Source organism: Homo sapiens, chromosome 1, assembly GCF_000001405.40.
Source record: "Homo sapiens chromosome 1, GRCh38.p14 Primary Assembly".
NCBI classification, from domain to species: domain Eukaryota; kingdom Metazoa; phylum Chordata; class Mammalia; order Primates; family Hominidae; genus Homo; species Homo sapiens.
The window spans coordinates 162,703,342-162,729,085 of NC_000001.11; the positions used below are offsets into that span (position 1 = coordinate 162,703,342).

A 25,744-nucleotide genomic window follows, 5' to 3' on the forward strand; every position below is an offset into this window, starting at 1 on the left:
AGGAGTTCAGAGAAGGGAAGGTAATGAAGAGCCTGCTATTATGCTATTGTTCTCATCAGAAGAGGGGTGAGTGTGAGGGAGGAAGAGAGGATAGATGGAAGATGAGAAGAGGGTGTGTGCCAGAGCACTGTTGTCCATTTAGTGCCAGCCCTGTGTGGCAAATAGGACACAAACCTCCAATTGGCTTAAGTTCCTGAGGTAGAAGAGATTAAGAATGTTAAAAAGGGAACAAAATTTATTGAGCACCTACTATAGGTGAATTCATGAATATTTCTTGATCACCTGTCTGTGGAAGGCACTGTGTTAGGTGTTAGAGATAAAGAGAGATACTATCTTCACCTTCAAGGGCAGGCCAAGCAGTGTGCTAGGAACCTCACAAAAGGAGGTGCTGAAGTCACATAAGCTCCCCTTATGTAGTTATTCCAGTTCCTGGTTTTCACGTCTAATGGATTTTTCCCCATAGCTTCTCCCCCTCCACCCAACCCCAGCCTTTCCAGAGTGTGTCTGTCTTCCCAAAATGAGTTTGATACTTTGTGCGCATGCCGGGATCCCCATGGGATTGATGACATCATACGCCATTGGCTCCTATTGCACACAAGAGAGGAGACAGATCTGCACATTCCTGCAGTTAATGCTGAGTAGAATCTTGGCAGAGGTGGTGGCATCCTTCATTTGACTTTAGACCTTCAGCCTCCCTTTTAAAGCCCTGGCTCACACAGTTATTGAGAAGCCTTATCCTGCAAGGAACCTACAGCTTAGGAAAGAGTTGCCCATGTGTCTTTGCTATCAAACAAAAGATATTGGCAAATCTTTTATCGATTTTCTATTCTGGCAGAGGTACCATTTATTATGGGGTAGATGGGATATAGATAAAGCATCTCCCTGCCCCTAATCCCTGCCTTGCTGAGATAAATGCCTGTTCCATTCCCCAATCACCAGAAAATGCCTTGGAGCAATGGAGTCTAACAGCCTGAGAGTTGTAAAGGGGCAGCAAAGCCACTTCTGCAGGAAGAGAGTGTGCATGAACCTTATTCATTGTCCATGTGTGGAGTTGCTTCATGTTCATGCTCTTCACCCTGATTTGACACATACCAACATCAAATAACTATCTACTCTACCCCATTTGGATACTATAATAAAAAAAAGATAGTCCAGTTACCTTATAAACAACAGAAATTTATTTCTCATTGTCCTGGAGGCTAGGACGTCCAAGATCAAGGTGCTGGCAGATTCAGGGTCTGGTTAGGGCCCACTGCCTGGTTTATGGATGGCATGTTCTCACTGTGTCCTCACATGGTAGAAGCAGTGAGGCATCTCTGCGGGGTCTCTTTTAAAAGGACCCTGAAAGAGGGTGCCACCCTCATGACCTAATCACTTCTCAAAGGCCCTACTTCCTAATACTATCACATTGAGGGTTAGAATTTCAATATAGGAATTTTGGGGGAACACACACATCCAGTCTATAGCACTATCTGATAAGGCTTCTGAATAGTCCTGGGCCATTTTACATAACGGGGGTTTACTAAGGACTCTCAACAGCATAGCTCTTGCTTCAAGGGGTTTTCCATGCGGGGCCTGCCAGAATCCCCTGAAGATTTGCCCTTTTGCTTTTGGGAGAATCATTGAGAGAAAAAGGACCTGGCTCCTGTGCTTTTCGCATGCTCACCCACTCCGGCCCTTCTGATTAATGTTTGCTGTTCTGCTTTGCAGATGCCTCCCAGGACCCAGAGGGAGACTGTAGCCTCATTTCTGTGGAGACCTTTGGCTGGACTCTCCTGGCTCTCCCAGAGGTGAGAGACCGTGGTTCCTGTAGCCTCAGGCTTGGCACCAGCTCATCTCTGGTGGATCCAGGATTCCAGATATCCAATCTCACTACAGCCAGGGCCTCTTTGTCCCAGTGTGACCTTGTGGGCTGTCCCCCTGACTGCGTCTTAACAGCCCCTGCCATTGGTGATTTTCATTCCAGCTACGAGCCAATGGATCCCTGAAAGCGACTGTGTGGGCTTCTCTCACCATGTCGCTCTGGCCTCAGCCTGGCGGTGTGCTCCTCTGTGGTCTGGATGGGGATGATGAACTCGGGCTGCCCGTTGTTTTTGTTTTGTGATATTTAAAGCAGCCGAAGCTCTCATTACTGTAATACAGTATGTGCCTGGGCTAAAGGGGGAGCAGCATTCCTTCTGGATCAGGGGGCAACTCTATTCTGTTGTGGTACACCCGCTGGAGTGTTTAGAACCACGGCTGGTAGATTTACAGTGCCAGGGCTGACAGGGGCCTTGGAACTCCTCCATTTTCATTCATTCCAGCCTCGTTGTTGGAATGAAGAGGGAGCTGAGCCCATTCTGGGTATGGGACGATTGCTTAGGCCCTGGGGTGATGAGTGGCAGATCTGGGACTAGAACTCAGGCCCAGAGGCCAGCTTACTGTCATCTGGCTAAGTTTCTGCTTCTGTTCTCTTCACTTGTTCAAGATCCTTCTGAGGCCCTGAACCAAATGAGGAAAATTCATGTAAATCTTAGCACACTGCCTGATACATAATAAGTGCTCCATAAACGTTTATCAGTGCTCTCATAAGCCCTGAGACATGCAAAATATTCTTGCCCTTCAGGGACTTACAGTCTTGAGGAGGAGATAAAAATTTCACACATACACACTAACACAATTAAGGAGCAATTTAAGTCACTAAATGGTTATCTGCTAAGTTTTGGGGAATAGGTGCAGTGGATCACGCAAGAGAGGAGACAGATTATTGTGGCCTAGAAGAAGTGCCATGGTGAAGATAAGAGCATAATGTGTATGACATCTGTGTATGACATCTTTTCAACTCCTGGCAGTGAGATGAACAGGTCAGCAGCCATTCCTGGACACTGCAGAGCCCTCAGGCCATCCACTCATCTACCCAGCACATTCACTGATTATCTCCCAACTCTGTGCTCTGCATAAGAATGTAAGGAAGACCATGACAAGACCCTTTCCTCAAGCCTAGCCAGGGAGACAGACATGCATAAAGATACTACCACTGAAAAATTCTACATTCATATGTGTTCATATCCTCAAAGCATCGTCTGAGCCCACAGGTGGGTAGGCAAGTCAGATAGGAGCAAGAGTTTGAAGGAAAGCATACATTTACCTGGTGAAAAGGGGCAACTCACAAGCCATAAGCTCTTGTGCAAAGGGGCTGGTAAATGTGAGTCTTCTGCAGGAGAGGTGGAGTTGCTGGGAGGTTAGACCCAAGCAAGGGCATTCTGAGAATGAGATTGAGAAGCCTCTGAGGCCAGCATGGGGCAAGCCCTTGGTGTCACACTTGGCCCTGGCAATGTGGTATTTTTAACCTGGGCCAGAAAGTGGAGAGGAGCGGGCCTGGTAGGATAGAGAGGAGGGCTCTTTACTTATCAAGAGTAGGTACCAGATGCTGGTGACTCAAGGGGAAGCTTCCTGAGTGGAGATGGAGCCTATAGGTGTTTAATCGCCTGGAACAAACATATTTTCTGCACTGCTTGGTTCAGAGGCTGCAAGTTAAAGTAACACAGAAGAGAATGTCCGGCCAGCAATGTGAAGGAAGCATGAAATGGAAAGGGTTAGAAGCTGAACTTCTCTTGATCAATGACTTTATTATCTTGGCAAGGATTGCAGAAACTGTAGGTGCTGAGGGACTGACTTGTTTGGAGGAAGGGGTAGGGACCAGGAAAAGAATCCCAGACACTTGGTGCTAATCCAACTGCTGAATGAGGCTTTCAGGCTCTGGGATTCAGGCAGGAACTCCTGGGCCATATTCTTCCTAGGTATGGGGCTAGAGAGCCTTCAATCTTAGTGTCTGTATGTCCCTGGGCCAATCTGCTTTGTTCTACCATGCCTAACATCAGAAAAAAAGGGGTAGATTAAGTTTAGAGCCACTGCTCTGTGTCTCCATCCTGCTTCTTTTTCCTAAGGCAATTGAGCCTTACAAGGCCTTCTAAGTCCCTATGAGGTCTACAGCTGTCAGGGATTGGTGAGGATGGAGAACAAACCAGTCTGTTCTGAATTCAACTCTTGCTTTCTTTCTCCCTCTCACAATTGAAGGTCTTCCTGAGCCTTTGCCTCTTTCAACAGCTGGATGTTGAGACTGCAATTTTTCATGATTGCTTGTTTTGTATTTTTTCTTCATGGTCTTTCCTAAAGTCTGTTATTCATCCAGGTCCACTTATACATCTTCTAATCTATTGCACCAACCCTGCAGCCATGGCCTGGCATGAAGCTGCTTGCTCATTGTCTTGTTGGTTTTTCCAAATGCTCACAGGCGCTAGTCATGTAAATCTCCTCCTGGCAAGAAAAAAAGACTGACTTTTTGTTGTTGTTGTGTTGCCCCAGGTGATTCAGCCAGTCCTGGGCTCACAATAGATGCTAAACATACGATTGCCACCTCGACTGCTGATCTTTTTCTTCCTATACACCATTCTATTCATACCGCTATTCAAAAATTGATATTTATAAGCACTTACTATATCCCAGGAATGGTACTGTAAGTTCTTTATATGCATTATTCCATTTAATTTTAATAGTGATACCATTTTCTACTTTTAACCAGCTTATACTTTCTACACTGATAGAAAAGTGTCCCTAAACCCACAGACTAGTTAGTACCTGGCTGTTTTAGAAGTTCCTCACTCATGACATTTCTGAAGTTATCACTACAGGATATGGTTGCAAAGGCCTGGGAGGAGAAATCCTTTCTGTCTCTGATGGTTTCAGAGAAGGTGAGAGGTCTCTGTCTCTTTGTGGTAAAAACACCAGGGTAGGCCTTGATCTCCTGAGTCTTGAGTATGTTAAGGGAAAGACACTAAGATTGCTCTGCCAAAAGGGCAGACAGACCCTGCCTGGTGTCTGGGAAGTTGAGCCCAAGTTTCTCTCCAAGGAGGGTCTCCTGCAGGGATCAGGAAGGAGGGTCTATTGGCATCACACATGATCTCTTCTGGGTTCAGGAGGGGTTCCTATAGCTAGATGAGATAGAATTGATTGATGTCTCAGTGATGCTTCAGGCCATGTTGATTGGGCCTGCACTAAAAGTAAGCAGCCCTTCAGAGCCATGTGCTCTCAAGAGGCAGCACAGCCATAACCGCAAGAGTAGGATGGTCCTGGTGGAAATGGCACAATCAAAACAAGCTCCTGGGCCTTGTGGCTTTGAGTGGCTGAACTGGAAGGTTCTTGAGGTATGAGCACTCTCACTCACGGTATTGATCAAGCAGCGTAATCACATCACTGCCCCCACAGAAGTGGCTGCCACTCAGTTCTCCTCAGCCCAGGCTGATTTCTGCTCTGCTGGTTCATAGGAAACTGCTTGGGTCTTTCATGACTGCTGAAGCCCAAGGCACTTTCCCCAGAGGCAGCATCACTCACAGGATGGACCAAATGAAATGTCCTGGTCAAAGGCAGGAAGTTTGTATTGTTGTTCTTGCCTATTTTACTATCATGTAAATACCTGCCAACCAACCTACACATATTCTCTGAGTACTTACTGAGTACTTACTATATAGGTGTTAATGGATACAGAAATAAGAGTATGGCTAGGGGTGGCATGCTTTTTGCCCCTAACTTGCAAATTTATTGAGAACATGATGCCAGGCACAGTGAAAACCAAAGAGAAATACAAATAAATGGTAACATTTATGAGACAGGTACTAGGTTCTAGACACTTCTTACATGTTAACTCATTTCATCCTTACAACATTCCTGTGGGCAGGTGCCATTATTACTCCCATTTTTACAGGTGAGAAGACAGAGGTGCCAAGGTTCAAGTGTGTGCCCAGGTGCATGACACTGGTGAGAGGTGGGAGACAGGACTCAAACCCAGCAAGCCTGGTCTCAGACAAGGTGACTCATAAGGAGCAGCAAGGGAGGTAGGAGGCAGAACATTGAGTGCAGGGGCTCAGAGGGTGGAGGGAAGTAACTTCAATCTGGTTTAAAGAAACCAGTTATCAGAGACAGACAGGGCCTAAAGAAGGTATGGGTGGCTCAGAGTTTTAGGAAGGAAAAACAGGAAGTTGGGCTAATAGGGATAGCGTGATAAGAGAACAAGTGCTAGGCTGGAATACCAGGGGCCTGGCCTTGCCTGTGAGCAGCTGCTGCCCCTGGGGAGGTCACTTTGCTTTTTGGGCTGCCTTATTTTTATCACCTCCAATTGGAGAGAATTGAGAAAGATGAGCTTTCAGGTCCCTTCAGGTTTTTACCGTATGGTTCTATGATTTTGAGGGCTGGCATGTTTCCTTGGTTGCTTCCAAAAGCCTCTGACCACAGTCCCTCAGGCTGACCCTCTTGTGCCCAGTAATGTGGAAAGATGACCTTCTGCTCACCAGCACATGCTTCCAAGGGCTGCGGAGCCTGGGACAGAAGGTACGGTGGGAAAGAAAATGAGAGGAGCTGGTTGGGAAAGATACTCACATGCAGAAAAGTTTCCAGCAAGTCAGAGGTGAGAGTAAAAGATCCAAATGAAAAGCTAGAGATTGCTAGGGCTCACCAAGGTTGAATAACTTGTCCAGGGTCTTAGCAGACTGAGGGATACTGGATGATAACACTTCTAAAATACTGTTTTGTATCTGGAAAATGCTCTGCCTTCAGTTTGCATTTTCTCTCCTTCTTCCTCCCAGTAATCAAATGAAGACGTTAGATTTGACATTTCCAGTGTGTACAGTACAGACAGGAAACTAGGTGAATGAAGTAATGCAGTCAATGTTCTGTGACTCCATTCTGCCCCTGGAAGAGGGATGTTTTCTATAATAGTCATGTGACTCAACATCTTCTTGTCTTCTTAGAAAGGAGTGAGAGAATAAGATAGCCATCTAGCACTTTCCCCCCTCACCTCTCCTACAAACTCTAGCATCTCATTTTACAGAAGGAAAGGCTGAGATGGAGGGGAGCAAAGTAGTCTTATAACAAAGGCAGAAGTGGAGCTTGCTATTTCATCCAGTGTGGGTCACCTCAGGTCACCTGGGGCACATCCTATGTGCCCAGATACTTACGGAAGGGGTCATTCTGGGCCTTTGGCTCCACACTGAGGGGCTGCATTTTGAGAATCACGAGGTTGGGACTCCCAGAGGAAAGTTGAGAGTTAGGAAAACTTCAACAAATCCTCAGGAATAGAAACAGAACATGAGATGAGAATGTTTGGGACAGCTCTGCTGTTTGTTTCTGTGTATGTGTTTGAGGGCCCATCTCTTGCCAAAACCAAGCTCATTTCTGCATATTTGTTTGCTTAATATGAAATACTCCAAAACTGCTCTTCATATTTGTTTAATCTGAAATGAAAATGACTCAGCAGAGAGGAAAAACAAGATTTAAATGCCCTGAATGGCCCCTGAATTAAAATACATAGCCCTAAATCATGGGGGTGTTCTTCTCCCCACCAAATCTTAATCTTCAACACACACAAATGCAAGTGCCACACACAGTCATGCACACACACACACACACACACACAAACATTGTATTTGCCTGCCCCAACTTGACCTCAGTCCCTTTATCTCTTTTCCCCTTCATACTCCAGCCTTTCCAGGGTCCTACCTTTCCTGCAGGGGAGGTGCATTTGAGCTTAGGTGGAGAGGCCTGGCCTGGGCTACAGGCCACAGATGATTTTCCTGGAGGGCCAGCACTTCCTCTCCAGTCCAGATCACAGGCTCAGTGTCAAGATCCCTGGGGGAAATCTGAATTTTCATTCTTCAGCAAAGTCGAGGCCACCTCAGATAGTCCCTAGCTTTTGGATCTGGAAAAATGGACTCCGTGGAGAGAATGGCTGTCTACCAAATCAGACATGTCTTGCTTTTTACACAAGCTGTATTCCTGAAAAGTTGGGTATAAACTGGATCTTGGTATGTTGCATCAATTTTGAATGTACTGAAAAGATTTGCTATTCAAAGGAACCCAGCACTGGATTCTTTTGTCAAGGGATGAATTACTTTGTAATGGCTACTCATCTAGTGATTTATGAGTTTGGTAAGTAGATGGAATATTTTTATATACTGAATGTTATTTTAAATGTACTGTGTGGGATTTTTTATTCAAAGTTACCCGGCATTGAATCCTTTTGCGAAGAACTATTCTGTAGTGTAGATAAACATTTCATGATTTATGAGTTTGGTAACTTTAGGCATTTCTTAAAGTGGGATATACCCCTAGTTCTGCTTCAGAGAAAAAGTTGTTTTTTGCAATGATCAGACTTGGAGAAAAAAGAGTTCTACCATATTTGAGTTATGGTCACTCCTGAGGGGCTTAGGAAGAATGGAGGTACTCAAACTTTCCATTTTGTTGGAGCAAAAGATCCAGGAGTTGCCTGCTCTTCTTACTTTCCATATTATCACTGGGGTGGAAATGATGGAGGTATTTTTCCAAAGAAATGTAGTTCACTATTATAGCTACATTTCAAAGGTGTTTCTCTTCATATCTATATCATTTGAATATATATTTATATATATATACACACACATACATATATACACACACATGCACATATGTTTATACACACACATGCACACATGTACGTATATACATATATAATCTATCATGTGTATTTAGATCTAAAGCAAAGACATTGCAGTAGGGCTTGTGTTTTGAACCACTGAAGGGCTGCTGTTTCCACCAGTCCAGAGTGCTGGGGCTTGCTCTGAGATCACCAGGGGTATAAACCAGGCAAGAGGAGAACTTAACTTCCTGCTCACTCTTTCTCACTTGGCAGGTCAAAAATCATTTCAGCACTTATCTCCCAAGGTTCCTAGCTGTGTCCCCATACCATCCTATCTGAGCACTAGTGTGAAGCTTGTTTTGGGAAATGATCTGATTGCTAAGGCAGTTGGAAAAGAGAAATATGGTGTCATGTGTGTACAACCAAGAGCTGATCTAGGATGCCCACATATTCCTGGCTCATCCATGAGCCACATATTCATTGAAGTTCTTATAGGTAGGAGCAAACCCTGCCTATAAGAACCCTACATGGACTGGAACTGTGTCAGGCAGAATGTTCAGATAACTTACCCTTTCACCATGATTTGGCCCTGAATGTGTCTCAGAAAAAGGCTTTTAGAAGCTCACCCAAGTACAGAGATAATTTGTGAGACATTTAACCTCTCAGACTCTTGCTTTTTTCTTTCCTGGAGAGCTGCTAATTTCTAGTTGTGGCTGCCACACTCCTGTCTGCCTGATCTTCCATTTTACTTCCTGGTTTCCTGGTGGCTTTGACACATGGCCTGTCCAGATCCCAGTGGGGGCAGTCCTGAGATGGAGAGCTGGTGGTCTTTTGTCAGATCTGGGAAGTCCTGAGCCATGACTTCCTTTGAAATCAATTTGGAATGTCCATCCAGCTTGGCTAGGGAAGAGGATTTTGACTGTGAAGAGGGAAGTGGGTTCTTTACTACAAAGGACATATTCTCTCTGAGCCACATGCTCCTTGATGTTCTTTGGTAAATATTGGGCTGTGGTCCTAGAAACACTGACCTTGGAGTCAGGCGAACTGGGATCCAGTTCTTACTCTGTGGTCTTCTAACTTAGTGACCCAAGCAAGTCAAAATTAATCTCATTTCGAGATAGAGATATGCAAGATCCTTGACCTTCAATGACTCATGGTCAGGCTTGAGAGAAAGTCAGGTAAAGAAGCCAACTCTAATTCAGCACAATGAATGGGAAGCACCAGCCAGACCAGGTAAAACAGCCTCAATTGAGGGTGAAGTGACTTAGGGCCGTACTTTTCTATTGTCAAAAGGAGATGATAATTTCTCTCCACAGGATTGTGGTGAGGCTCAATGATGTAATGCATCTATAAGTAACTGATAAAGTTCAGGAATTCTAAAATAGAAACAGGCAGTAATTCTCAACTGTTTTCTTCTTCCACTCTATTCATGTGCAAGATGTGCTAAGACATTTCCCAATACAACAAGTGATTCTTGAAGTATAGGACGTGTTCCCCCCACACCTCCAACTCTCGGAAATGCACAGAAAGTGTCCTTGAGATTCTGATAGCCTGCTTCCAGGAAAAATGTTTTGTTTGGTTTTGTCAGAAAAGCTAATATAAATGACATTAACAAGGAACACATTTTCCTTGTTGAAAATCAAAACATTACAAATAAGGCTAAAGTCTCCCTTTGATCACCATTCACAATCTCCTCTGACAAATACAGCAGTCCATCTCCTAACTCTGTCTTGGAGGGAACCACTGCTGTCAGCATGGTGTTTAATCTTCCAGATCTTATATATATATAAATGTACATGAGTGTGTGTCTATCATAAAAATATATAGTGTGCTTTACATAAACTTTGCAACCTTCTTGTTCACCTAAAAACATGTCATAGACTTCAACCGTTGTAACTGTGAGTAGCTCTAATGCATTCATTGTTACTATTGCATAGCATTTCACAGTAGGAATATTCTATAGTTAATAACATTATCCTACTGGTAGACATTTTTCTAAGTTTTTGTTGTTAAAAAATATATTGCAAAGCACTTTTTTGTGCATGCCTCATTGTGTACACACACAAGTCTTTCTTTAGGGTAAATAAGAATAAATGGGATATAGAAATTATGGTATATGTATTTTTATTGAAATTATCTTCTAATTTATATATCCAGCAGCAGAGTATGAGAGTATGCATTTGCCATATTATTGCCAAAGTTTATATTATCACACTTTAAAATTTTGCCAGTCTGATAGGTAAAATTGGCATTCAACTACTGCTTTAATGTTTGTCTTTGTGACTACTTGAGAGGTTGAATACTTTTAGATGTTTACAGCATTATATTGTCTCCCCTGTTGAATGCTTTTTATTTACTTGGCCCATTTTTCTAGTGGCTTTTAAAAAATGATTTATAGAGATTATTAATACTAGAAGTTATTTCATTATACAATTTCAAATATTTATCTTAGCCAGTTGTTTACATGTTATGTTTATGATGTCTTTTGGTCTTAAAGAAGTTTTGAATTTTGGTGGAAATTTTTATTATTCTTTTCATTTCTGGATTTTGCTTTCCATGTCTCATTTGTGCAGGCCTTCCTTATCTTTAGCTCATAGCAAATTTTTCTAGATTTTCCTTGAAATATTCTTATGGTTCCATCTTTACATTTTGGGCTCATTTTTGTGAGGTGTAGATATACCTTCATTTGCTTTTGAAAAGGCTACTAAAGCATCTGAAACTTCTTCACCAAGTTTAAATACCCACCTTCTCATGTAGTACATTTCCATTTATTCATGAGTCTTTTCTGGGTTGTTCATTCTCTTCAGTGTTCTGCTTATCTATTTCTATACCAATTGCATACTCAGAGAGGCCTTTGCTGGCCACCTTACCTAGAACAGCTCTCATTCCCTTTCTGTTACATTACTCTATTTTATTTTCTTCCCTGTACATATGTTTCTTTAAAATTCTTCTTCATTTACTTGTTTTCTTATGTACTATAAGTTCCATGTTGGCAGGAACCTTCTTTGCCTTTTTTACTGATGTGCTTATCACCTGTAATAGCACCTAATAGATATTTACAAAATAGTTGCTGAATGAATGAATGAAGGCCAATGGCTTGACCAGGGGTGTTTGCATTTTGAGTTTTATTTCTTGAGGCTTAAATAAATTGTCAAAGGGGTTTGTACTACTAACTAAATAAGTGGGTAGAGAAGGGCTTTCCTAGCAGCTCCTTGACATGCTTCCATGTATACTTTTGAGTTCTGTTCACATGTCACATTGTTTAAATATTGAACCCTTGGAAAGACTCATTCGAAGGTGCAGAAAAGGGTGATTCTGCTCACAATAAGCTTTAGAGATACTTCCTTTTAGGGTATGGAATTTAGAATGACCAGATGTAGTCACTGAATATATGGCTCAAGGCAATCATTAATTCATTCTGCAAATACTTATCAGGCACTCTGGTAGTGTTGAGACTACAACAACGAATAAAATGAACATGGAGCTTGTGTGTGTTGGGGGGGAATACAAATTAAACAATCACAGCAATGAATATATAATGAGAAACTATGATCATTTCTATATAGAAACATTATGTTTTTAGAGCATGTAACAATCAAGGGGATGAGAGAATATTTTGCTGAGAAAGTGACCATTTAGTAGAGATTTGAACTAGGCAAAGAGAGGAGAGAAACTTCTTGGCGGAGGTCCTTAGGCAAAAGAAAATGGAAGAAAAAGAAAAGAAGCTCCAGTGTGACTGAGGTGGAGAGGATGAGGAGAAGGGCAGCTCTGGTGAGGTAGGTGGAGCCCAGATCAAAGGATGATATAGTGTGATGATGAGCAAAAACAAAAGAAGGAACAACAAAAACAACAAAAACCCATGTGGATTTTGAAGTAACACAAGCCTTAGGTTCACATATGAGTTTGGTCACCTATCAGGTGTGTAACCTGATTAGCTTTAACCTCTTTCTCCTTAGCTTCCTTGTTGTTGAAAACAAACCTCATTGAGTTACTGTGAATATTGTAAGAGATGGTCTCTGATTCGTAGTAGAAGTACATGGTATAGGTATAATACTTCTAGGTGCTTTACAGTGCTCTGTTTGTTAGCTGACAGTCATCTAATTTTAGGCAAAACAGAAAAATAATTATTGCTTTTGGAGATTCGCAGCTTGAAGCCCGGCAACAGTTTCAAAAAGTAAATTAGTCAACATTTTTTGAACACTTAGTAGGTTTGGCTTAGTTCAGTTAAAAACCATTTTTGAGCACATACTTTGTGCACGATGTAAAGTAATACTTTGGCAATATAAGAATGAACCATTTTGAAGTTAATGATTAAATGGATAATTTTATAACAATGTTGTGAAGGATCCAGTAGAGTTAAATTAAGCATGTGTTTTGGTGAAGGAAAGAAAGGAAATGATGTGTGGGAGACATTCTTTGCAGAAGGAATTATTGGGGAAGGTTATGGAGGGGAGGAAGTTACGGCCAGTAACCCATGAGAGAGGTGCCACAGGAGAGAGAGAGAATTCTAGGACTGTCCTGCAAAAGACTGCTAGGAGAGGGCGGTGAGCCAAGTCAGTCCTGGGCCTCAGCACTTACTGGATGGCTGCTTACAAAGAGCTCGGGTCTCTCTGGAAGGACATCCTGGATTATGGTCATGAGTTAGTGCTCAACTATAGCCAAGACCAATGTCTCCAGGATTCACCTGTGTGTTTCTTTCTCTGGGCATGTTTATTTAGGGACTTATTTATGGAAATAGTGTTCCCGTTGCTGGAAGTGGCTAGGAACACTGAGACATGTATTTTATCTTATCCAAATCAATTGCTATGAAACTATGCTCATCACCCTTTGTAGTTGTAGATCACATACCCCTCAGCCCCTCACTATGGGGCCATTTAAATCTTCCGTGTTTTATTTGCTTTGGATCCATCCTCTTCAGTCAAAACCATCTGACTACATTGCTTTTTTTTTTTTTTAACCCCTCTGGGTGTGTCAGTATTATACTGCTTAGAAATTGTCTTAGAAAGCTTCTGTTTCCTGAAAAAGAAAACTCCTTACTCATGTCATCCTCTGATTTACTCCATCCCTGTTATTGCCTATTAAAGTCTTGTCCATCCTTCAAGAACCTGATCAGATATTTATTTCTCCATGAAGCCTTCCTTAATCACTCCAGCTTAAGGGAATTTCTTCTCTCTTTATAATATTGTGTCACATACTATTTCTAATATTGCATCCAATGCTTGCTTGATTATTAGTGTTACTCAGAGGGAATTTTTTAAAAATCACTTTGTATTCTAGAACAGTTTTTTTTTTTTTGTCTCACTCTGTCGCCCAGGCTGGAGTGCAGTGGCACAATCTCGGCTCACTGCAACCTCCACCTCCTGGGTTCAAGTGATTCTCATGCCTTAGCCTCCCAAGTAGCTGGGATTACAGGCACCCACCACCAAGCCTCGCTAATTTTTGTATTTCTAACAGAGACGGGGTTTCACCATGATGGCCAGGCTGGTCTTGAACTCCTGACCTCAGGTGATCCACCCGCCTCGGCCTTCCAAAGTTCTGGGATTACAGGCGTGAGCCACTGTGCCTGGCTTTCTAGAACAGTTTTATATTTACATAATCATTGTGAAGCTAGTACAGGGAATCCTTGTATATCCCACATCCAGTTTCCCCTATTATTATCATCTTATATTAACATAGTACATTTGTCAAAATGTATGAACTGATATAGATACATTATTATTAGCTAAAGTCCATTCTTTATTCTGATTTCCTCAGTTTCCCCTAATGTCCTTTGTCTGGATATAACATTACACTTAGTTATCATATCTCCTTAGGCACCCTGAGCTGCGATAGTTTCTCAGACTTTCTTGTTTTTAATGACCTTGACAGTTTTGAGGATTACTCATCAGGAACTTTATAGAATTTCCCCCAACTGAGACTTTTCTGGTGATTTTTTTATAAGTAGACTGAGGTAATAGGTTTTTGGGAGGAAGTCCACAGAGGTAAAGTGTCATTTTCATCACATCATATCAAGAACACATACTATCAATATGACTTATCAATGTTGATGTTAACCTTGATTACCTGTCTTGAGGAAGTGTTTGTCAGATTTCTCCACTGAAAAGTGACCCTTTTTCTTTCTCTGTTTTTACACTGTACTTCTTGGGACAAAGTAACTATGTGCAACTTACTCTTAAGGAGCTGGGGAAGGGAGATAGTAATGCTTCATTTTCTTAAGAGCAGATTATCTACATAAATTATTTGGAATTCTTTTGCATTGGAAATGTGCATATTCTCCCCATTTGTTTATTCAATCATTAATTTATAGCAGCATGAACTCATGGATATTTATTTTATTCTTTGGTTTATAATTCAATACTGCTGTTTTTGAGGGGAGGAACTCATTAAGTTGGCTACTGTGTCCCTTTGTCATACCCCATCATCTTTTTGTGTGTACATTTTCTCAATTTCTGGCACTAAAAGATACTCCAAGTCCATCTTGTTTATAGTCTGCTCCATTCCCAGAATCAGCCATTTTTCTGAGGAATCCTGTCTCCTTTTATTGAAGAATGTTATTAGAAATCAAGATCTGAGCACTAGGTTTGCTCATTGCTACTGGGATGTCATTGCCTCTAGGCCTTTTCAGCGGATGGAACATATGTGTGTATACTAACCCAGGCATATACACATATCTATAAATATTTCCATATGTAACTATTTGTATCCTTATTAAGCTAAACATAAGTTCATACTGATGTCTCCAAATCTAATCTATTATCATAGATTAGATATTATGAATCATTTTGGGGAAACCTGAAAATACAGAATCCCAGGTATCACTCCAAAGATAATGAATCGGGATAAATATTGAACTTATATGTTTTGAAAGGCAAACATTAAAAGTAAATGCTTCTCTTGGTTGAATATTGGAATCAATATCAAGATTATGAAAACATCAGTTTACATGATAAATATAAGTTTTACTTTACCATTATTCACCATTTGGGTAAGTATTTATCTTAGGAAAACTTCGTGTGTCTGACTATACTTTTGCTAATTTAAATTTCATGAGTGTGCAATCTGATAGAGTTTGAAAATTATTATATTAGGTGATTATTGGATGTGCCATTCAACTCCCAAAGTCTGTGATTCGAAGTCCCATATATAAAAACAAACACTGCAGGAACACAAAATTAATTGTGAGAATTGTACTCATTCATGTTGGCAGTATCTGCCTCACTCATTTCCTCTCCTTCTCTTTCTGTTTTCTTGCATTATTGGTTGGTGGCAGACTCCAGTTCCAACACCATCTTCTGAGATGATCCTGATTCCCAGAATGCTCTTGGTGCTGTTCCTGCTGCTGCCTATCTTGAGTTCTGCAAAAGCTCAGGTTAATCCAGGTAACATGGCTATTACTCAGCTATATGCTAGAAGACCAGCAGAATGTTTAAACCCATCAATGTTCAATGGTGGGTCTAAAAGCTGCCAAGAGGGACTACAAAGCTCTTTCTTTTTAAATCTCCATGGTGAAATATGACTAAAATAGGAAGAAAAATGAATATACTTTATATATATGTATTTTAATACTTACAACCTGTTGAATATTGTAAAATATTTTCTTATATAGAGTAGGGGTGCAGTAAGAGGGCATTTTAAAAAATGGGAGGTGGCAGAAGCAACCATTTGCTTCTGCATCTTCTGAGAAAAACAGGACAGAATTTTTAGATGTCTTGGAGAACTTCTTCAGGTTGGTTTACCAGTTGTTTTGGGCTGTCTTAGACTTTGATTTTACTTGGATGTCCTGTTATGCTTTTGGGATCCTGGTCCTGTGGGATCTCAGGCAGGTTCTCTTTCCTCTAGGATGTGGCCATGCTAAAAATAGATAGGTTAGGAGAATCTTTTGAGCCCAAATTTGTGGGATTATTTTGTATTACATGCATTTTTAAAGTTTAAATGGAAGTAAATAATTGTATTATTTATTACACAATAATGCTGCTTAACAACCTATCCAAAGCTCAATGTCTTTAAACGAGCATTTATTTGGCTCCTAGCTGGACTTGTTTGGACTGTTCTCTGTTCTGTGTTGATTTACTCAAGCATAACTGGAAGTCAGCTGGCTATTGGCTCATCTAGGATGGATGTGGCACTGATGAATGGGGCAACTTTGCTGTGTTCTGTTTCATCCTCCTGCAGACTAACCTGGGTATGTTTTCCTGGAAATTGCACAGGAACAAGACCAGAAGCCAGAATACTCAAACATTTTTCAAGCCACTGCTGAAATCATGTTTACTAAGTCTCATTGGCCAAAGCAATTCATGTGGCCAAGCCCAGAGTCAGAGTGGGAGAGCACAAAAAATTAGATGGTAAAGGTCTGGGATGCAGGTATTGGAGAAGAATTGGAGTCATTTTTTTTTTCATTTTGCTACAAATATGAACATGGAAAAGTATACAGCTTAAATGTTCAATTTTATGAATTCATAAACTGAACACATCTAAACAGTACCTGGATTAAGAAACAGAACTATACCAGCACTTTAGAAGCTCTCTTCATGCTCCCTTCCAGTAACTTTTCTCACCACCCCGCAAAGGTAGCCATTATCCTGCTTTCTAGCAACATAGATTAGTTTTGCCCATTTTTGTACTTTATATAAATGGAATTAGATGATGCATAAATACTCTTTGTGTCTGGCTTCTTTCACTCAACATTTTGTTTATGAAATTCATCCTACTGTTGCATGCAGTTGTCAACTATTCATTTTCATTGTTGTATATTACTTTGTTTGAACATTTTATTTAGCCAATCTACTGTAGATGGGAATTTGAATAATTTCTAGTTTGGGCCCATTATGAACAAAACTCCTATAATTATTCTTATATAAAACTTTTGGTAGAGATAAGTACTCAGTTCCTTTGAGTATACACTTAGAAGTGGAACTTCATATGTGTAGCATATGATATACTATTCTGCATAATACCAAAAATTTTTTCAAGTACTTTACCATTTTACCATCCCATAGCAGTATATGCAAGTTCCAGTTGTTCCATGCTATATTTTGATTCTTGAGGGTGCTTTAATTTTGTCCTCTTCATAGCATAAGGGTACATTTGTGAAAATGCTTGCTCTCCTCCCTTCATAAAAGTTCCATGTGCATGGGTTTTTCTTTATACCTTCAATAGGAAATATGATCAAACATCCTTAAAATCAAAGAATTATTGGCTGAAGGAGCCCAGTGCCTTGTTACTTTCTCGTAATAAGCTCAGCTGTTGCATCTCAGATCCTAACTTGGGTACCATTTTTTCCTTTTTCTGTTCTGTATTCCTCTCAATCAATTGTTGATGTTTGGTTGCCTCCTACTACATTCTTCATGCTCTGAGTTCTAAGGAAGAGTGCTGTGAGTGCATGGAATGGTGGGATGTTTTGGTGGTAAGCATAGTCATGGAGACTGGCATGCCACGAGGACATTTAAATGACTAACCAGGAGAGCTGATCTTCTGTGTTAGAGTCCACACTGTGGCCCTGGAGCAGGAAATGGGCTATTTGGAGACAGCAAATAGTCATCTTAATTTTTTTTTCTATTTCTGGTGTCAGGTATTTTTGTTGGCTCTTTCTGACAGGGAAAGAGAAATAGACTTCTTGCTTTGCAAAGACCTTTATAGGAAAACAGGACATGTTGAAGGACTAATCCTTCTCTCTGCCATTTCTTTCTATTTTACCAAGTCAAACCAGAGATGAGTGTTTGAGGCAGATGAGACATTTTCATTCATTATCAGTGATAAAGAGTCTATCATGAATCCTGAGGCTCATAGAATGTTATAGCTTGCACACTGCTGAGCATAAAGTCAGCATATGATAAATGCATGTTGATTTAAGGATGACTCTTCAGGAGTCCTTACTGGTGTCAACTGAAAGACTGACTATAACTGAAAGTATTGAAAGGTAACTGAAGGCACTGAAAGACTGAGTGAATTCTTGGCCAGTTAGGTTTTTCCCACAGAATGGCCACATGATATAACAAATAGAACTTAAGCCAGGAGACCTGAGTTATAAGCAAATCCAATATGCAACCAATTATTAAATTACTGAAACATTTTAGTTGGTTATTAGCTATAACATATTGGTTGGTTAATAGTAACTGAGCTAAGCATTAAACTCAATAAAATAAAAATAAAATAATAATTAGTTGAAGCTCATTGTTGAAGATCTTACAATGACTATTGGTCAATAAGCCTTCAGTATTAGCATGATTTAGTTGATAACAAACATTAAACATGATATGATATGAAATATCAATCTTGGTGTCTCAGCAGATACCAAGAGAGGATAAATAATCTTGTTTACATTTAAAAAAACTCTCTAGTATTTGAAATCATAAATGTCTCACAGGTGTCATCCATGGAGGCTGCAGAGTAGTGGTGGTATGACAGAGATAGTTGGCTGAAGCACGAAGGCAGCAGAGTTTTTGGCTCACTGTTCTAAAGTATCTGAGTTTTGGCAAAGCAGGCAGTCAGGCAGATGGTGTTAGTGGCATTTCCAGTAATGGCAGTGTTAAAGGTAGCATTGTCAATGGGGCCTGGAGCGTAGGCTACGCAAGTCTTTGTGGGAAATGCTGACATGAAGGTGTATATACATAGTCCTGAATTGTGGGCAGAGTTCTCAGCTATCTTCCAGCTGCAACAGTGCACCAGGAACTGGAACCTAATCATCATTAATCCAGTGGGAGAGGTTATTGGAAGAATTAGAGGCAGTTTCTTATGTCAAAATCATGGCTCAGAAATACCATTTAGCTAGTGACATCCAAATCAAACAAATAATCATCCCAATAATTTCTGAAAATCATTTATACAAATCAACAGATGATTGGAATGTTATTAGTTCTGATGAATGATTTGGAGTTAACTTAGAAAAAAGTATTTAGCTTAACTTTTGAGTAACAACCCTAATTATAATCCTGACTTGGTCATAAATTAATTGTGTGACAGTGAGGGAGTTGTTACGTGTCTCTTTATACTTCCTTAATATTTTCACTTGTAGTAAGATTAAGTTGGATTAGATAATCTATGGGACCCTTTCTGCTACAAAATTACTGTGATTTTTATGATGTGAGAACTTTATAGCCCATACTGGAAGATTTCGGCTTGGAAGTATAGCCCCTGAAGTTGCATGGCTGTTTTTTGCAAGAAAGACTACTTGTTTCCAACTCCCTACCACTTCCCAGGCTCAGGGATGTGAAGTCTGAATTTCAGGAGAATCTTGCCTTTGGGGCTAAGCACACAGGAAGTGACTGATAAATACTTAAAAATTTTAAACCCTAAAACTCTGCTTAGTGGCAGGTGAATGCAGAAACCCTGCCCCAGCCTAACCTGCAGGAGAGTCATAGTGCTACAAGCTACCCTGCTCCAGAGCATCTTTTGCTCTAGAGGTGGGGCCAAGAGGTAGCATTTCAGGCTGAAGATATAGCGTATGCAATGGCTGAGAGGAGGGTGAGGAACATTTGGGGCTCCTGGTGGAGGATAATGAGTGAGAGAGCCAGCGGGGCTATGTAGGAGATCCATTCCCCTGTGGGATCCTTGAGTCAAGTTTTCCCTTATTTCCAGCTTGGGCTGGGACTGCCAAACTTGATAGGAGAACTAAGGGCATCTCCATGGGAAAGAGACCCCACAATCATGCACAAAAATACGGGGCTGCAGTAGTTGTTTGAGTGGACATCAGTGTCAGGCTCCCCTAGGGGATATAAAACCACTGTTTCAGTGGTTAGTGGGGAACTGGCACCTTACGTTTTTCCAGGTAGGAGGATGAATAGAACTATCCTGATGATCCTGAAATTCTAGCCCAGCAGTCTGAAGCCCTGGGACCCACCCAGCCAATTAGAGGATTGTTGTGTATAAAAAACACAGGGGTGCTTGTTCTTATTCCCCTGACTTGGCCTGTGACAACTGTTTGTGCTCAGGAAAGGGAGAAACATCTCTTCTTCTCAGCAGGCAAACCAGGCCTTTAGGATCCATGGTATAAAGCTGAGGCAGGGCAGTGCTGGAACTTCCCATTTTCATGTCACACTTTCCCCTCATAGGAAGCAGGCAACTTACTACCAGTTCAGAGTCCTGGGGTGGGAGTCCCCCTTTGGTATCCAGAATGCTTCCACTTTGAAAAAGAGTGGCAAAGCCATTCAGGGTTTGGGATTAGGAGAGGACGAGCTTTTCTCCTCCTGGCCCCAAATTTATTTTAGGTTCACCACTGTGGTTTTTGTTCTTTCCAGCATCAATCCCACATGTCAGTGAGTTCTTAGGGTCAGGCAACTAGAATTCTAGACTGTTCATGTTGGAATGGACCTTAGAAATATCTAAGTCACTCTTCCTCACTTTACAGATGAGGAAACTGGGAGTCAAAGCAGGTGAGTGATTTGCCCATGCTCCACATTTAGCTAATAGTTAAGCTAGGACGAGGACCCAGGGCTACCTGTCTCCCAATCCCAGGTGACTTCTACCTGGGCCCTCAGGGAGCAATGTGCTGAAGTGACCTTTATCTAAAAATCACATATATCCATGCAGCCTCATGCTTTCCTTTCTGCAACCAACTTCCAATGTATATTTATGGGGATGAGATGTAATTGAGATTTGAGGGACAGCCTGAGGCCAAAGAATGGAGTCAGACGAATAGGATATACAGTGCTCACACCTAGTCTCATGCTAAATGAGGAAGGCTGGAGCTAGAAGCCCTGCGGGCCAACTTACCCCCACCCAGAAACTGAAGCACCAGGGATGCTTTGGTTCCCTTCTGCACCAGGTTGTGCCTTTATCACCGCTCCCTTGTCTTCCACCAAGACTGCTATGTGTTAATTCACCTACACATATTTCCAAATTGGAAACTCATTTTTGTTTCCCTGGCTTCTCGTCATTCGTGTTCCCAGAGATGTGCTGAGAAGGTTTATGTGGCCTCATCTGTTAACGAGAAGGTGATGCTAGTTTCAGGTTTGTGAAACCAGGCCTGAGGTACTAGTGTTGTGATGTGTGTGTATGTGTGTGTGTAGGTGGGTGGCGCGGGGGTGTAGTGTGTGTTAGACAGCCTGAACAGGCCTTGAGAAAAAGATAAAAGGCCGGCAAAAGACCTCTCTGGTTGAATTTATCTTAAGTGAGCAATGCTAGAAGCTGCCCAGATTGGCTCTTTCTTGCTTGTGTGTTTGTTTTTTAAGTCTAGGCTGACGCCTGAGAGTGGCCTTTGGCATCCTTCCTGCCAGTAAAAGAGCCTTTCTCTGGGTAAAACAGAAACTCATCTGCCCCTTGAGCCCTCTTGGTTGTGCCAAATAGGGAAAAAGAGAATGCAAAACTCAAAGAATATTCAATGAACACTTAATATATTCTGGGTACCATTTTAAGTGGTGTCAACAAATTTAATCTTCACAATAATCTTATTAGTATTAGTGTTATTATATAATAGTAGTATTATTATTCCAGTTTTACAGAGGAGAAAGTGAGGCCAAGAAACATTAGGTAACTCATAGCAGGTTACAGAGAAAGCTAAGTGGCAGAACCGGCATTCGACTCTGCTCCAGCAAGCATGCTCTTTTCTTCTACTTCTTTTTTCTTTATCCCGTTTTTCAAATTTCCAACAATGTATCAGTTAAGAGTTTTTCGCTTGTTTTTTTGTTTGTTTTTGGAGAGGGCATGTTGCTCTGTCACCCAGGCTGGAGTGCAGTGGCATGAACATGACTCACTGCAGCCTCAACCTCCTGGGCTCAAGCCATCCTCCTGCCTCAGCTCCCCAAGTAGCTGGGACTACAGGCATGCGCCACCACACCCAACTAGTTTGGGTACTTTTTGTAGAGAAGGGGTTTTGCCATGTTGGCCAGACTGGTCTTGAACTCCTGACCTCGCCCTCCTAAAGTGCTGGGATTACAGGCATGAGCCACCACACCCGGCCACAAGCATGCTCTTGACCTCTGTGCTCTACTGCCTTTGGAGTGTGAGACTCAAGGAATGTCAGGGCAGAGGAAACCCAGATTCATGGACCAGCCACGAATGGGCTACAGAGACCCGTGAATCCCCTGAAATTGCATCCCAAACTTAATGTGTGAAGACAAAAGTACATTTGCAAAATGAAAAATGTTTTCTATTATCAGATGCTCAAAAGACTCTGTGACCAGTTCTAGAAAAGACTAAGAATGGTGGATTTAATCTAATCTTGTACAAATGAGGAAACTGAGGTTTAGGGAGATAAAGTGATGGGAGGAAACATGTTTGAAAAGACTATTAGCAGACCTAACCAGGCTTTGCCTACTCGCTGGACGAGCATGGTCAGAGTTTTGGGTTCTCTGAACTGCAGTCTTCTCACCTATCACTGATCGCTGCCTTAAGGGCTGTTAGGAAGAGTAAGAGAATATATGTAAAGTACCTAGCATAGTGTCAAACACACAGAATGTGATTAATAAATGCTGGAACTTCTGTCCTCTTCCTCAATTTTGTATATTGTGCTGTGATAATGGCAGACTTCATTAGTCTTTCCATTATTCTATACTGTCCTTTATATTTTAGTTTAATCATTTCATTAATTAATTATTTAACTTAATTACTATACTGTAAAAATATTTCATTTTCTTTGAGGGCAGACTTCACCTAATTCCTGGGCTTTGTATCTTGGGATAAAAGGGTTCCAAATACATCTACTGCATCATCACCTTTCCATCCAAAGTAGCCAGGTGAATTCCCGGTTCATACCCTAAAACTTTGCCTTCACCCTGTTGTTTTGCATTCTGAGGCCTAGATTCCTAGTTGTAAAAGGCAGTCAGAGGAGCTAAAAGTAATGCAAGAAAAAACAAAGCTCCACTTTTTTTCTGTTGTCAGTAGGGATAGAGGCCCAGGGAGACCTAGTCTCCTTGAGTCTAAACTTTGGGGCCAGGAGCATGATCATGGGACTCCAGGAAGAGCTTCACACAAAGTCCCTTTTCTGGACCTCTCAGTTTTCACAACCACCTGCAGAGCTCAGTTTTGCTCAGGGCTCTCGTGTGGAAAGACTAAGAGTCTACAGAAGAACAACAGTGTTGGCAGGAGCAGACAAGGAGACAGGGACCCTGCTTACCATGGAAACTGGGCGCACTGGGGCCATTAGGTCCGTGCATCACTGCTGCTTCACATATTTGCTTATTAATGTTTTGTTCTGAAAGCTGACAAGAACTCTAGGGGCTTCAAGCCCATAAGATCAAGACATACAATATAGCGATATAAGTATGTAAGAAACATAGATTGATACAGATATAAAATAGGAAAAGGATATGAAACAAATATAATATATATGATAAAAATTATAAATATTATAATAAATATATTATAAATATTATAATATTTAATATTATTAATACATTAAAATATAAACATATATTTATATTTTGTAAATATAAACATATATTTATATTTTGTAAATATAAACATATATTTATATTTTGTAAATATAAACATATATTTATATTTTGTAAATATAAACATATATTTATATTTTGTAAATATAAACATATATTTATATTTTGTAAATATAAATATAAATATAAATATATATATAAAATATGTATAAAAATAAACATAATAAATATTATAATAAATATACACACATATATATGTGAGTATATTTATGTATGTATTTATATATAGATATATCTATATTTATGTGTGTATATTTATGTAAGTATATTTATGTATGTATTTATGTATATATAGATATATCTATATGTTCACATGTTACATGTTATATAGATATATCTATCTATATATAGAGTTAAAAATAAATAAATAAATAAATAAAAATAAAAATAAAAATAAAAATAAATAAATAAATACAGAGAAGCCTGGGAGTTTCCTTGACTTCCTTTTTCCCCCTCCCTCTTCTTATTCATCAAACATTTGTTGATTGCCTATATAAGCCAAGCACTGTAATAGGTGCTGGTCATGACGACACAACAGATTATCACTACACCAGAGACAAAGACCAAAGTCATAAAAACCTCTGAAGCAGGAAGAAAAAAAAAGTTGCATAAATTTTTTTAACAACTCATCACCTCCCACTTAGGCTCATAAAAAAACCTCACTGATTTTAGTGTCTTAACTTCTACTTTACTGTGTATGTGTCCAAACTACTGAAAAATTCTGTGAGGGCTATCTTGCCACATCCATACTCTTCAGAGACCCACAGGCCAGGACCAAGAGCTAAGTCGACAATCACACTATATATATCTATATATATATATATAGATATAATCACACTATATATATCTATATATATATAGATATAATCACACTATATATATCTATATATATCTATATATAGATATAATCACACTATATATATCTATATATAGATATAATCACACTATATATATCTATATATAGATATAATCACACTATATATATCTATATATAGATATATCTATATAAATATATAGATAGATATCTCTTTATATATATATAGATAGATATATCTTTATATATATATAGATAGATATATCTTTATATATATACATACATAGTCCATAAATATGTACATAAATATGTTCACATTTTACCCAATCAGGTCAAATCTCCAATGTCATGCTAGTTGAGATACTGAAGGTATGAGAGTTAGCTGGAGCTGAAAGAATTTGCCAGGCCAGGTAAAAAGAGGAAGGGAAAGCTTTTGAGCTGAAGAAAAGGCACAGAGGCACAAATAGAAAAACAAGAGTGAGGATAGTGATTATTGAGGGGTCATGAAGGCAAAGGTGGGGTTAGGATGGCACCAAAAGTAGGAACCATATAATCTTGGGATCCTCAGTATATGACAAATGTTTTATGATCAAAGGCCTTGTCTTCACCTGGTGTTAACATAATGCTATGCCATGCTGTCTTTCCCAGAGTGCAGGTTCCTTTTGCTATCACATTTCAACAAATCCTGGGACAAGCACATTCTAAAAATTAGACAAGCAATAATCCTCCCTGGGCTCTCTGTCCAGATTCTTCCCCAACTTGGTGATTCTTGACCCTAGTGATCACATGATAAACAGGGTGTGTGTGCTGGTAGCAGGGTGTGATGACCACGTGATACGGTTACTAGACAGACTGTGACAATGGAGATCAAGAGATCTAGATTCTAGTTCCAGCTCTGTCACTATCTAGCTTTGTGACTTTAGGTAAATCTCTGCACCTCACTTTGCTCATTTATAACATGGGGTCCATAAACTTTGCTCTCTGAACTTCATAGGGTTACTGCAGGGGATTGAAAGAGATAATGGAAATAAATGGGCTTTGGAAAATTACATGCAAATATCAAAGACTGTGATTTGTTACTTTTGGAAGAAAAGAAAATGAAAATAAACACTATGAAAC

General features: G+C 40.4%; 1 protein-coding gene across 8 annotated transcripts in view, besides 1 other annotated feature; it reads left to right on the top strand.

The window, feature by feature from the left end:
• Positions 1 to 25,744, top strand: part of DDR2 (discoidin domain receptor tyrosine kinase 2) — a 156,543-nt gene that overhangs the window by 72,479 nt on the left and 58,320 nt on the right. For 5 of the 8 annotated variants that reach the window (NM_001354983.2, XM_047421554.1, NM_001354982.2 and 2 more), the window contains one exon: positions 15,696 to 15,804. The exons of 1 other annotated variant lie outside the window; for it this stretch is intronic. In NM_001354983.2, coding sequence (NP_001341912.1) covers positions 15,723 to 15,804 — 82 coding nt within the window. In that variant the 5' untranslated portion in view covers positions 15,696 to 15,722. Of the gene's footprint in view, positions 1 to 1,710; positions 1,791 to 15,695; positions 15,805 to 25,744 lie in introns of all 8 variants that reach the window. 2 more of the 8 variants (XM_011509587.3, NM_001014796.3) reach the window with 1 other exon arrangement.
• Positions 9,438 to 9,732: a silencer, noted in NCBI's record as "tiled region #4859; HepG2 Repressive non-DNase unmatched - State 7:EnhWF". NCBI's record gives its function as "represses a minimal TATA promoter and a strong SV40 promoter by Sharpr-MPRA in HepG2 cells {active_cell/tissue: HepG2}" and the evidence as "EXISTENCE:reporter gene assay evidence [ECO:0000049][PMID:27701403]".